Source organism: Homo sapiens, chromosome 13, assembly GCF_000001405.40.
Source record: "Homo sapiens chromosome 13, GRCh38.p14 Primary Assembly".
Lineage (NCBI taxonomy): Eukaryota > Metazoa > Chordata > Mammalia > Primates > Hominidae > Homo > Homo sapiens.
This window is the reverse complement of record NC_000013.11, coordinates 42,830,228-42,845,469: the sequence shown is the minus strand read 5'-3', so window position 1 is coordinate 42,845,469 and position 15,242 is coordinate 42,830,228. Positions and strand designations below refer to the sequence as shown.

General features: G+C 39.2%; 1 long non-coding RNA gene across 1 annotated transcript in view; it reads left to right on the top strand.

The window, feature by feature from the left end:
- The window catches only part of LINC00428 (long intergenic non-protein coding RNA 428), a 30,333-nt gene extending 27,275 nt beyond the window's left edge, over positions 1–3,058 (top strand). The window contains exons 4-5 of the long non-coding RNA NR_126389.1: positions 2,583–2,671; positions 2,919–3,058. This is a non-coding gene — a long non-coding RNA (long intergenic non-protein coding RNA 428). The remainder of the gene's footprint in view (positions 1–2,582; positions 2,672–2,918) is intronic.
- The last annotated feature ends 12,184 nt before the right edge of the window (positions 3,059–15,242 follow it).

Here is a 15,242-nt window from a genome sequence, read left to right as displayed (position 1 = left end):
TATAGATGAAATTATTGTAGAAAAACCCATAAGAATGTAGGGACAAAAATTAAAATGAGTAAGGGAGCTCAGTAAGTTTGCTGGATAAAGCTCAATATACATTACTCTATTAAATAGAAAGTATATGTATTTAATTAGCTGCAGTAAAATTATAAAGTGTATAAGAACAAGACAAATAAAGCAAAAAGACCAATAAGAACCAAACTATAGCAATTCTATTGAAAGACCCTAAAGAAACTAGAAATGAATATTGAACATATTTTAATTAAATGTTGAAATGAACATTTTACAATGCTGAACTTTTCTATGCAAAAACATGTTGAAATACCATGTTTTGTACCAGTGTTATAAATATGTTGTAAATATGTTAGTTCTCACCAAATTCATTTGCAGTTTTAAAGAAATTTCAATCAAAATCTCAACAAGAATTTTTACAGAACTTTCTAAGTATATTCTAAACATTTGTAAGAAAGAACAAAGTGTTATAAATAGTCCAGATGCTCTTAAAGAAGCATAAGGTGGCAAGGTGTGGAGTTAAGGGTGGAAGAGACTTGGCTACTTACAAGCATTAAAAACTGGTAATTATTTTAGTAGATATTGGCATAGTGGTAGTAAGTAATCAACGCAGCAGATAGGAAACTCAGAAACAGATAAACTATATATGAAAATCTGATACACAACAGAAATGGCACTGTAGAATATTAAGATATGAAAAACTAGAAAATTAGACCCATACTTCACATCAATTTCAAATGTAACAGCAATTTAAATATGATGGGCAAAACTTCACAACTTTTCTAAGAAAATGTAAAATAGCTTACATTTATAGTTAAAAATTATTTCTTGACCAAAACACAAAAAGAAGTACATTTTGATTCTGGAATTACTTGTTTATTAAATATTTGTTTGAACAACCATGTAAAACTGTCTGATCTTGGGTTTCCCTTTATGAAAAATTTTAAAATTGGCTCAATTTGTTTTATGGATATGGGTGACATTGATTTCTAATTGAATCTCATTGAGATCAGCAAATGCAGATTATGATAGGAGTCTTTAAAATTTATTGAGGCTTTCCTTATTTAGTCAGTTTTTAATAGATATTCCATGCATTCTTGAATAGAATGTTCTATAAATGTACATTAAAGTAGGAGTTAATAATGGGGTTACTTAAATATTCCATATACTTATTGATTCTTTGCTTTCTTGGTCTGTAAATTATTGAAAGATGTTAGAATCTTTCACTATAATGGTGGATTTATCAATTTTTTCTTTCCATTTTATAATTATATTTTATATGTTTCAAAGATGTTTTATTGTATGCATACATGTTTAGAATTTTTGTATTCTTCTGGAGAATTTCCTTTTTATTAATATATAGAAGCTCTCTCCATTGATATAATAATTTTTTCCTTTAAAGCCAATATTTTGTCTGATATTAATTTAACTGTACTAGGTTTTTAAATTCCTTTTTTTTTTGAGACCGTTTTTTTGAGACTGTTTTTGCCCTGGCTGGAGTGCAGTGGTGCAATCTCGGCTCACTGCAATCTCCACCTCCTGGGTTCAAGCAATTCTCCTGCCTCAGCCTCCCAAGTAGCTGGGATTCCAGGTATGCGCCACCATGCCTGGCTAATTTTGTATTTTTAGTAGAGAGATGGGGTTTCACCATGTTGGCCAGGCTGGTCTTGAACTCCTGACCTCAGGTGATCCACCCGCCTCGGCCGTCCAAGGTGCTGGGATTACAGGCATCAGCCACCATGCCTGGTCTTTAATTCCTAATATATACTTTTAATCTTTCTGTAAATTTCTGTTTTAAATATGCTTTCTGTAAATTCTCTTTCAAGGTGGGACTTTTTTTTTTTTTTGAGACAGTTTCGCACTGTCACCCAGGCTGGAGTACAATGGTGCCATCTCAGCTTACTGCAACCTCCATCCCCCAGGTTCAGCGATTCTCCTGCCTCAGCCTCCCAAGTAGCTGGGATTACAGGCGCCCACCACCACGCCTGGCTAATTTTTGTAGTTTTTAGTAGAGATGGAGTTTCACCATGTTGGCCAGGCTGGTCTTGAGCCCCTGACCTCAGGTGAACTGCCCGCCCTAGCCTCCCAAAGTGCTGCGATTACAGGCATGAGCCACAGTGCCCAGCCGAGGTAGGACTATTTTAAAAAATATTAAATATATAAATATACATAGTTTAACATTCTTTGTCTTTTGGGTGATTGAATTCATTTATATCAATTGTTATTACTGATATATTTGGATCCATTTCTTCCATCCTCTTTTTTGAGTTTGTGTGAGCAGACTCCTTTTGTGCAGTAATAAGCTTAAATGTTTTCCTTGAGGGTAACTGGAAATTATCAAGGTGTTTTAATATACACTTAATATACATACACAGACACACACACCATAGGAAGTAGGTTATTTTTACCTTTATTTTATGCCTAAGGAAATTGAGCCAGAATGGTTAATTGTCTAGCCTTAGGTCACAGAGCTATTCTGTGGCAAAGACTAGATTGGAACCAATATCTTCTGGAATTGGACTGCAAGTTCATTATTCTTTCATGTTTCCATGATGTCTTCAAGATAGAGAGTCTATCATCTACGTAGAACTGAAGATGACAGAAGACACCAAAGGAGGACGGGGGCTTCCAGGAAGAGCCAGTAAGATGTGCTGAGGTCAGAACTTTTATTGCCTTTAAATGGGCATTGAATGGAGTTTTGAAATTGAACTACTTTTTGCTTTGTTCTTGTTTCTCTGATGGATTTACTCATTAGAAGGTGATGATGTTGCTACATAAGTGGTATTTAAATATGGAGCCTTTTTTAATTGCTCATGGTATTTCACTCATGATGAAATGAAAGTCTCATGAAACTGTAATTTGAAACAGAAAAGAATGGTAATTTTGCCCATTTTCTTGAAAAGTAGGAAGATGTGAAGAAAATTGTTGAACATGTCTGACAATAGAAGACCTAAGGCCTAAGAAGTCCATTTCAATGAATCACAAAAGAAATCAAAGAACAGAATTTCTCTCTTTTGAAGAGAGAATAATTGCTTTATTAAGTAAGTATTGCTTTATTCAGTAATTCACTTGGCAAAAATTCACTTGGCAAAAATTTCTTCAGAATTTTTGCAGCATCACTGAGTCTAGTTTTGGCAATTAGTTTAGGATTTGAAGGAAATCAAATGACACTTGATTAAATTGATTGGCTAAATAAAACTTTAATCAGTAATTGTCCAAAGTTATAGAGGTCATGTGATTTAAGGGAAGGGAGGAAACTGCAACTATATTGGGGGATTGAAGAAAATCAAGTGCAAACAGTCTGATTTTTTGTGGGTTCTACATAATTTTGAGATGCTCATTTCTTCTCCCTTAGGTCACAGCAGCAGATTTCTAGACCCAGTGTCATGTCTCCTTGTCCAAACTGTGGCCCCTTCATGGTAGTGTGGATCTTCTGAGAAGAGCTCTAAGTAGTTTGAATGTATTGTGAGAATCAGATTGAATCTAGCTTCAGAATCTGAGTTTTGCAGGTCTAGGTCACACACAAACACACATGCGCGCGCACACACACACACACACACACACACACATATTTTCTTTTTTTGAGGTAGGGTCTCATTCTCTCACCCAGGCTGGAGTGCAATTGTGCAATCACAGCTCACTGCAGCCTCTACCTCCCGGGCTCAAGCTATCCTCCCACTTTAGCCCCAAGTAGCTGGGACCACAGGCATGCACCACCACGCCTGGATAATTTTATTTATTTTTTGTAGAAACGAGGTCTCATTATGTTGCCCAGACTAGTCTCGAACTCTTAGGCTCAAGCGATCCATCTGCTTTGGCCTCCCAAAGTGCTGGGATTACAAGCATGAGCGACTGAGCCTGGCCAGTAACTAATATTTTTGATAGAATAAGTTGCAAATCTGGAACATACTTATTTTAAAAGTAAAAAAGTCTTTTAAATTGGCAAAATCTACAATTCTAGGTCTTAAATGAAATTTAGCTGGGCATAAACAAAGGCTGAATTTCATTTTGAGTCACTGATAATCTAAGTTAAGGGCAATGTCCCTTTTCTTCTGTTGTAGGATCACCTCTACTTTGTGTTAGTCTGGGAAGTGGGGGTGCTGTGTAAGAAGTACTAACAGGTAAAAGATGTTGCAGTAGGCTTTAGTCTTTTGACTGGTCTCCTCACCTCTATTCTTGTTCCTTACAATTTATACAGATATTGCCACTGGAACCACTTTTTTAAAGCTAGTTGAATCTTATGGATAAAGTGTTAACTTTATAGCTTGGATTAAAAATGATTTCCTGTCCAGTCCTGACCTGGTCTTAATCTCCAGTCCTCTATCACCACCTCCAAACACACACACACACACACACACACACACACACACACACACACAGTTTTAACAACATGCTACTTGCTCTTTTTTTCTCTGCTTGTACTAGTCTCACTGCCTGCAGTATTCTTGACTGTCTTCTACCTTTATAATCTCAAGACCCAGATCGAATATCACTTTCTCTTTGAAGCTGTCCTGAACTTGCCTCTTATTTGTGCTCTTTTCTGTGCTCCTAAAGCACCTTGTAAATTCATCATTTTATAGAATGTACCAATCATGTTCTAGTAATCCATTACGAGACATTGGAATAGCGAACACCCAGAAAAAGTGGCCCCGCAGGGATGAACTTTCCTCTTCCTGTTTACTACCTTTGCTCCTGTCACTTCCCACCTTGCTCTTTTTTCTGTGACTCCAGAGTGGTCTATCTGGGCCTGCTGTTCTTAGGTGAACATCTGTTCCTGGAGGATGCACAGAAAACAGGCATATGTAAATCAAGAATTGTCAGTGTACCGGACACATTTTGCTTAAGTGTAAGAAAAACAAGGAATCAATTAAGTGTGTGAAACAGAAATCTTCCCCAAGTGTTGATATATTTTTTAAAACTCACACTAATCTTATATCCTATTTTAATATAACACAAATAAAAGTAAATGTTTATGCTGAGGCATTATGAAAAATAGTTCAGTTTTTACCTAAAATTTGGAAAAGTATAGTAACCTGAGCACCACAATTTTAGAAAGATGAGCCATTCGCAGTTATAAACCAGTCTGGTAATAATAGTAATAGCAGCCATTTATTTAGTACCTATTAAATCTCAAGCACTGTGAGGGGTACTGTGTACACATTTTATTTAATCCACACAAAAACTTGTGAGCTAGGTATAATTATCTCCACTTTATAGAAAAGAGAACTGACGCCCGAAGAGGTCATATAACTTGTCCAATGTCACCCAGTTTGTGAGTAGAGTTAGGATTTGAATTTCAGTCTTTCTGCCTCCAAAATACATGTTCTCTCTACCATACTAGTATAAGGTAACCTCTGAGGAATGATATCTTTGAAGAAATAAAGAGCTTTTCAGAAGCTGGACTTGAACACTAACACACCTATAACTCAATAGCAAATAATTCTACTAGCTAAGAAAAATATACTTAAGTCAATTTGGCATCTCTAAAAATGCCCACCATACATAGTGGCTACAAAATCACTTGAAATAAATGATCAGAGGTAGTTATCTCTTGAGCATTATTCATCACTGTCCCCCCAACATGGAACCTCTGACATCAACGCAAGGGCACCGTGTAAAAGCCATGACTCCATAGCCCTGTGTGTCCGTGCTCCTGTCCCACCCCCAGTTCATTTCTCTGCTCCTCCTGACTTCCTGTTTTCTGCCCCTGAGGCTGGTCACAGCATCCCGTGCTGCCTTCATTACTTCACTGTCTGCCTCTACAGCATTCTCTTTCTTCTGGGCACAGCCTTGGTGCATGACTTCCTTGACAATGGGTTAGCCTCTAGGTTGACAATGCAGACCCAGATGGCCTTGACATACCCTTATGGTATACCCTAAATATGATGGTGCTTACCCAAGAGGGATTTGAAGACCACTTCTATCAAGATTGCCTCAAGGGAGTGTGTTTGTAAAATATCTAAGTTGACTGAGTCAAAACCCCTGGGAAGCAGAGCCCATGTAATCTGCACTTTAACAAGCATTCTACTTGATTATCATGTGGCCATGTCTGTTTTGTTTTGTTTTTGTTTCTTTGAGATGGAGTCTCCCTCAGTTGTCCAGGCTGGAGTGCAGTGGCATGATCTTGGCTCACTGCAACCTCCACCTCCTGGGTTGAAGCTATTCTTGTGCCTCAGCCTCCTGAGTAGCTGGGATTACAAGCGTGAGCCACCATAACCAGCTAATTTTTGTGTTTTTAGTACAGATTGGGTTGCGCCATGTTGGCCAGGCTGGTCTTGAACTCCTGACCTCGGGCAATTTGCCCACCTTGGCCTCCCAAATCATATGGTCAATGTTTTGGTAAGCAATGCCCTACCAGTTTGATGTCAATCTTTAGCTGCCTCTAAGCTTTATGCCATCTTCTGCAATGACTCTCCCACACGTGAGGACTCACTGTCCTGACCTGAATAGATCATTGCTCTGTTCCATTAATGTGTTTAACTGATGGTTGCTTATAGTGCGTGAGCCTTTTAGAAAATCACATACTGAGAGTGACTGTCTTTCACAATCACAAATGGAGTTTTTTCTTTTATTTCATATATGACCTCAATTTCCCCAAAACCTTATCTGTTTGTGGGTACAAATAAAGCCACTTAATATATATAACCCAAATTTCAATGATTCATGCCCATACTGACATAATACAAGATCTCAATTCCCCACATAATTTTCCCCAAGTATTTCTGGGAGGTCGTGGGAGGTGCCTGGAAGGTGCTCTTAGCCCTGCTTTGTTGCACAATGAACGGGTTGATGTGTGTTGCTCTTGGAGTCATTTAGGCTGTGCTGCTCCATGTCTGGAAGTCTGGTGGCCTTCTTTCCACAGTTGCTGATATCCATGACCAGGACTAGGTGTTCTCTCTCTCTGTGCTCCACAGCCACAAATCCTTGGGAAGCTGGGAGTGTGTCACCAGGCATCCTGACCCAGATGGAGCCCTTCTGTGCTTGACATAGAAGTGGGGAGGGTGCTGCTTGCCCTGACTCTGTGTTGCTTTTTTTTTTTCCCCACCTAATCAGTACTCTTAGTTACCTAGGTCTCCAAAGCCTCTTGTGAAACCATTTCATTCAATTTCTGCATGCACCTCCTCTCGCCAACACCCCTGACACACACTAGCTTCTGTTTCCAGTCCAATCACTTCCCTGGATGAATGTGAATAGCCCCAAACAAAACCACTGTGAAAAATCTACTCTAAGTGCATAATTTTACCAGTGCATCACACATGCTCAGCCATGTCTGAAGCTCATTTTAAGCTTAGGTTGGGAGCCTGGACCCCAACACACATGCACGTGTTAAGTTCCTGATTTCAATGATCCCAGTTTAAAAAGAATCCTAGAGAAGAGGTTTAAACACACTTTAGAGAGTAGGATAGGATGTCAGTTAGAAAGCCCAAGCAGTGTTGATCCTGAAAAATGTTTTTTCTTTCCTTTAAAAGAGAACATCTGATATTTGAGTTGTAGAACATGAAAGAAAAGAGAGAAGCAGAGTTGAACCACATGCAGGATTCAGCCTTCTAAATAGAACACAATCTTCCCTACCTTTCTCCTCCTTTACCATGCAGTGCCAGCTGTCACTGAAAGCTGCTTCCAAACCAATTTCTATTTCTTTATCAGAAAGGAAGATAAAATCTTACAAAAGAACAGATGATCAGATGCCATTGGTTCCTCCAGCTCTAGAACTGCTTTAGAAAGGAAGTTGCATCTTTGCAGAATTATTATTATCAATCAACCTTTATTGCTTCAGCTTTCTTTATTGCATTCTAACACACAAAGTAATGAAAACATATAATAAAGAGAATAAAACACGTAATGCATCACTGTGCAGATATTGCAATCATAGCAAATCCGATGTAAATGCCCCTCGGGGAATACTTGAGTCTTCCAATACATTGCTAACAGTTTGTATGATACTATATCACGTTTTTTTATCTACTAAAGCTGTCATGCTCTGCTAAATATCGTGCCAGCATCAACCCCAAATAGTACTACTCCTTCTCATCCTCCAAAAGAGGGGCATATTTCTTTGCCGTCACTGGTTTTAATGTTTGCAAAGAGGAGATCCAGCTTCTGAATAATTAATGCATAATGATTACTAAACTATGGGTAGTTTACTATTCTAGCCCCTCTGGTCTTTGCAGTGCTGCTTGCTTTAATATGCACTTTGAATTGGAACCAAGAGGTAGTAAAAGCCATTAAGATGGCATGGAGCTCAGTCAATAATGATTTACAGAGTTTGGCCACATCCTGGGATTTTCATTCTTGGCTCTCAAGCCCCATCTGCTGCTCATGCTCTGACCTGGTCTCCCTTTTGCAAACGCTTCTCCGATGGCAAGGTTTCTGCTCTGTTTAGACTTAGTTAAAGGAGTCAACATGCAAAAGATCAGGTCAAGTACACTCGTCCCTGCTATTTTCAGCTCTGGAAGAACATTAACAGTGGCTAAATACACTTGGAATATTTCTGCCATATATACGTGTCAAACAACTTCATGATCTCACCCAGTATGGGTACTTAGTAAATATTCAATACTGATAATAATTATAAGGGTAATTCACCCTTAGGAATGTAGAAGGGGCTTGCAAGCTAACTGGGAGGCCTTTAAAGAGAAAGAGCATCGTTTTCTCATGGTGAGAGTGGAAGAGTACTAATGTGAAGTCTGACTCTGCTCTGTGCTACTTGTGGTTTCTGCTCAGTGACGCTCCTGTAGATGAACTCAAACTTTAATGAATTCCATATGCTGTAAGCTGTGGGATCCCAAAGGGCAGAGATGGGTCATTTTAGTGGCCTTGTCTGTGTCTTGGAATGATTTAATGTGTCAGGGATATATATATATATATATATATATATATATATATATTTTTTTTTTTTTTTTTTTTTTTTTTTTTTTTTTTTTTGAGATGGAGTCAAACTCAGCTGCCCAGGCTGGAGTGCAGTGGCATGATCTCGGCTCACTGCAACCACTGTCTCCCGGGTTCAAGTGATTCTCCTGTCTCAGCCTCCCAAGTAGCTGGGATTTCAGGCACCCGCCATCACGCCTGGCTAATTTTTGTATTTTAGTAGAGACTGGGTTTCACCATGTTGGCCAGGCTGGTCTTGAACTCCTGACCTCACGTGATCTTCCCGCCTTGGCCTCCCAAAGTGTTAGGTTTACAGACGTGAGCCACCGTGCCCAGCCTGAGGAATATTTAATGAGAAGACATGACAATGGCAGGGCAAATTCACCTTGGGTGGGCATCAGGTAGGGGACCAGTGACTTCTGTAAGGCAAACGAATTGAATTTTATTCCCCCTGGTGCTTCATCAGGGGCGAAACATATAATATCCAATAGAAAACTGGCCTGGTGAGGTGGCTCATGCCTGCAATTCTAGAACTTTGGGAAGCCAAGGCAAGAGGATCACTAGAGACCAGGAGTTCTCAATGGGCAACGTAGTGAGAACCTGTCTCTAAAAAAAAATATATATATATATTAAAAATTATCCTGGCATAGTAACATGTGCCTGTAGTCCCAGCTACTCAGGCGGCTGAGGCAAGAGGATGGCTTGAGCCCAGGAGTTTGAGGCTGCAGAGAGCTACGTTCACACCACTGCACTCTAGCCTGGGTGACAGAGCAAGACCCTATCTCTAAAAAAGAAAAGAAAAAAAAAGAAATAAAATTGATGAAGGTATTTGTGGAATGGTGTTAAATAAAAGATATATTGTAAACACCATTCCATCTTAGACAAGAATGGGCGCATTTAGGGTGGTATGGCCGTAGACACACCATACCATTTTAGCCTAATAGAGAGCCTCTTAGAGGCCCGCCCTTAATAATGTTGTCATCTTGTGTAATATTATTCCATTTCCCTTCTTTTAAGAATCCCCCAAATGTTCGCATGAAAGAGAACTTTTAACATTATATGTATATGTTTATATATATTAATATATATATATATATGTGCATGTGCTTTGAGCCTGTTTCTGTAGATTGAAAAAAAGATCTATTTGCTTATGGTGGAAGATGCTGTTAATTCTTTGAAGTGGTTCGGAAAAGGTCTTTGAGTAAGTGGATCCTGGTGACCTACATGTTAGCATAAGTGTAAAAGGTTAAGCTTGCTAGTTCCTCCTCACCCAGTGGACCAAGCCTGATGGACTGTAATTGGTGCTTTGCCCTTTCTAGCTCTTAAATCATTACAAGGCCTGGCACTGGGACCTATGTCATTGGTAAAGGGAAGGAAGCCTAACGTGTGCATTGCTCCATGACTGCCGTTGGTTTACTAATGAATCATTTATCAGAGATGAATGAGTTAAGAGAAATATCTGCAGTATGACCCAAGAAGCCCCCACAGTATGGTGCATGATGAAATAACAGACCGAATATATTATAAAAATCTCTGAGTATTGTGGAGAAATCTAGAAGACACTGATAATAAATCAGTGTCACTATTTATGTCAGATTCCCAACAGACAAACCCAATTGCATCAGGCCCCTCCATAGCTTACTATGCACAATGGGACTATTAGATACATTCTTGGTCTAATGGGTTGCTGCCTGATTGCCACAGTGTTAAGGGTAAGAGGGAGGAGAGCCTGAGAAGCACAAGGTAGACCACCAAATGGTTCAGTTCAGTTAGTCCTAGGGGCTCTCCGGATGCCATTGCTTCCATCCCTCCGGGTGTCAAGGCCCTGCCCTCCTTCCTAGTTGTTTGTGGTTGCTTAAGTGCCCCATGTCATTGAAGAGGGAGGGGAGGTGATTGTCCTTATCAGGTGGGTTGGACAGAACTTAGCAAAAGTCAGATGAGCTTCACTCCTGCTTGTCCGTCAGTGAGTGATGCCCAGACTGCTGTGGCCTGAGCGCTGGTTCTGCCACCACAAAGCTTCTGAGGTAGCAAATCTGAACAGCCTCCTGATGGTCCTCCATTCCTGCCCATGGAATCCCTCTCTCCCCTTCTCCTGAGCCAGGAAATTGTTTCCTGGACTGATGGACATGGACTGATGAGTCTATTTTTCCAAATTTGTACCATCTTGTACCTGCACTTTAGCTTGTCACATGTCAGTAAATAATTTCACTCCATTGTTCTCTTCTCTCTGCCCCAATATCCTAAGGCAGTGGGTGCTTCATAATGTCTCACTGAAGTTGGGGGAGATATTTCGTAGGACATACAAAGACAATCCAAGGAGAGGGGAAGCTGATTTGGGAGGGAGATTGAACACAGTTAAAACTTTAAAAATGTTATTTTGCATATTTGTTATCAGATGTGCAAATAACTTACTAAAGCATGTATAAGCTATTGTGGATAATTTAACCTTTTTGTACCTTCATTTTTTTTCATTTTTAATGGGTATAACAATTACAATTACATCTTAATTAACAAACCTGTGAGTATTGAAAAATGTAATTCATATAAAATGCTTCATTTGGGACTGGGCATGTCACACAAACATACGTTCAATGTTAAGGAGGAAATAGGAAGGAGTTAGCCATGCCATCTACTTCCTAGCTGACCATTTATATTTATTGTGTTAGTTTTCTGTGGCTGTTGTAACAAATTACTGCAAACTTTGTGGCTTAAAACAACAGAAATTTATTCCTCCACAGTTTTGGAGGCTGGAAGTCCCAAAATCGATTCCACTGGGCCAAAATTGAGATGTCAGCAGAGCTGTGCTCCCCTGGAAGCTCTGGAAGAGATCATGTTTGTGGCTGCACCATGCCAACGTTTGCCGCCATGCCTTTGTGTGTGTGTGTGTATGTATAAACTCTCCCTCTACTTTCCTCTTATAAGAATACACTTAGGCCCCAACAGATAATCCAGAATGATCTCTTATCTCAAGATCCGTAACTTAATCACATCTGCAAAGACCCTTTTCCTGATAAAGTAACATTTACAGGTTCTAGTGCTTAGGACCTGATATATCTGGAAGGCTATTATTCTGCCTACCACATCTGATCTCTCCTAGCCTCAGTTACCTTACCTGTAAGTTGGGAATAATAATACCTTCCTTACAGGTATTGTGAGGATTAATTCCATAACATATGTGAAAATGCCTCATTAATGTTAATATGTTATGCAAATAGTTGTTGAAAAAATCTTTGAAAATCTGTCGAGATGAATGTAACTGCAGTATGCATCCATGGCGAAGTAGAGCATACAGCCTACATTTTCTGAAATGGTGTTAGGATAATCTAATGTTGAAAATCACAATAAGCTGTCAGGTTTTGTTCACCATAAACATTACAGGTATACTCTTTGCTGGATACTCTTCTGAGGACTGAAGTTATAAGGATACAGAAGCCCTAATCTTGAGGACATTATATTCCATTTGGAGTAAAGAGGCACACAAAGTTTAAATACACTGTGATAAGTGGCGTGACAGAATATCCCCAAGAGTGTTGCGTCATGAAGTGGGGGTGGGGAGGGCTTGGACCATCACTGGGAAGTCCAGGAAGGACTTCTCATCTTTGTGGGTAGTGGCTTTGGAAAAAACTCAACTAGCCTGTAGATCTGGCCTGTCTCGGTTGCTTTGAGTCATAAGTTAAACAGATTGTTTCTATAACCCCTTTGGCTCTTGAACTTTGGAGTGGAATGGATGATGTTGTGGAACGGGATCAAAACATGGATATTTGCTACTTGACTCTTCTCCAAAGCCTGAAGGCCGCGGCGTTATATCAGGAGGATACTTTAATATAGCACAAAGAGTCCAGGAAGACCTCCTAATCCTTTTCTCCCACTTCCTAATTTTAAAAATGCCTGAATCTTTAGTAATCAAACCAAATAAATTATGAAATACCCATTGACAGATGGTGGGTTTGATGGAGCTGTCCCTGGAAATAGATTTGTAATTCTGTCCTGTTGATGGGAAAGAGGATGTCGATAGGTTTCTGATTCATTGTCATGCTTAGCAAGGGCTGCTGCCTTGTGGTTTCCTGTCAGGTCCTTGTTCAGCCTGCAGTGGGGTTAGACATGGGAATGTGTCATTCATACCTACGGGGAATAAATGTTGCTTTTTCCTCCAAATGTTTTGTTTCAGTACTCTAAGTAGTTATGATATAAGAGCTAACAACTGTAGTTTCCAGTTTCAAAGACGCTGATAAATTATGGGGATCCTATTTGGAAAGACAGGCCACATTTATCAGAAGATAACAATTTCCAGTAGCATATTCTAAGGTAGCAAATGAGTGGTGCAGACAAGGAGTTTTAAAGACATTTGAAAGAGAGTGGTGTTTGGAGAAGAGTCTATTGAAAAGGTGGGCCAAGACTCAGCTTTAGAATGATGGCAGTGGGGAGGCGGCTAGGAGGGCTTCCCAGAGACACAGGAAATGTGGCACTAGCAAGAGGCACAGACAAAAATGTGCTGATGCATCCTTGGGACAGGACTTACATCCATGTGTATAAAGTAGTATGTTTAGAGCCATACGATTGTAAAATATAAGTTTGAATAGGGAGGCTCAGTTCAGATTCATTTATTCATCAGTTATTTATTGAGAGTATACTATGTCCTGGCCTTGACACTAAGGCAAAGAAAGTTGTACTTTGCAATGTTGCAATAAAAAATGAAGAATATTTTTTGTATTGGACTAAATTATGGAAACTCCTGATTAGGGAAGATTCACATGGCTGCTTTGTATAGTGTATTAGTCTGTTCTCACGCTGCTAATAAAGATATACCTGAGACTGGGTAATTTATAAAGGAAAGAGGTTTAATTGACTCACAGTTACACATGGCTAGGGAGGCCTCACAATCATGGCTGAAGGCAAAAGAGGAGGAAAGTCATGTCTTACATGGTGGCAGGAAAGAGAGCTTGTGCAGGGGAATTCTCATTTATAAGACCATCAGATCTCGTGAGACTTATTCACTACCATGAGAACAGTATGGGGGAAACTGGCCCCATGATTTAATTATCTCCACCTGGCCCTGCCCTTGACATGTGGGGATTATTACAATTCAAAGTGAAATTTGGGTGGGGACACAGCCAAACCATATCATATAGTGTACATTAGGATGGGAAACTGTTAAACATGGAGAGATGAGTGAGAGAACAGATTGTAAGTGAGAGGTTTAGACAAGAGAGGTAGCAGAAGGAACAGGTGCAAGAGATGTTATTTGGGAAAAGTGGCTATTCTTCTGTGTTTTTGTGGTGCTTTAGAGTATGTTGTTTGCTTGCATGTCTATTTCCCCACTAGACTCTAAGTACCTAGAAGGCAAAGACCATACCTGATTTACTGTGTCTCTTAACCCCTAGTTTTGTGCCTGGTACATAAGTCCTCAGTAAATGTTTGTTGAGTTTCTGATTATTAAATACAAATTGGATGTGATAGATGATGGGGGAGAAAAGTTAAAAAAGACTCAAGTTGTGAAATCTAGAAATGGAAAGAGTATTCATTATCAATAGAAAAGGGATAGGCACAACAGAACTGCTACCGAATGAAGATATTATTTGGCTCTCATTGGTCAGGAATTTCTGACATTAAGTTGGTAATGAGACATTAGAATCTATTTAAGTTTCTAGGTTACTTTTTAGGAAGAGAAAAAAGGAGGCATAGCTTTTAAGAGAGTGTTTCAGACTCTTGAATGGGAGGGAGAAGGGGAGTGTAGTTTGAAAAAGCAAACTTTTTACTCTCAAATCAGATTTTATACTTGGGAAAATATAAATTACAAAAGGACCCTTAAATATATATCAGTAAGGGAATGGATTTTAAAAGATTAATATACTTTGATAAGTAAGTCCAGTCAGAGACCTTCTGTAGCACCTTTAAAAATCATACCTCATGGGTCTAGATCATCCTCTGAGCAGCAGATGTAGGAGGAAACTTTCACCCCATTTTTAAAAGTTTTTACATGCAAAAAGGGAATGAATTGGGGCTCACTGAAAATAAATCAATCAAGCAGTTCAAATGGTGAGGAAATATAGAGCACAGAAAGTTAAAGTCCCCTTCGTTGCCATCCACATAATTTTCATTACAGGTAACCATTGATAGAAGTCTGTTTTCTTCTGTCCATTTTAATCTACACATGCATACACACAGAGGGATTTTTTTACATGGAAGTGAGAACATATTATACCTATTTGTTTTGGATTCATTTTTTGATAACATCTATGATTTTTTCATGTGTATATGTCTAAAACAACCTCATACTTTTAACAGACATATAGTATTCCATTGTAATAGTAATAGTGGTAATAGTCAACATTATTTAAGTATTTGCTGAGTGTCAGACA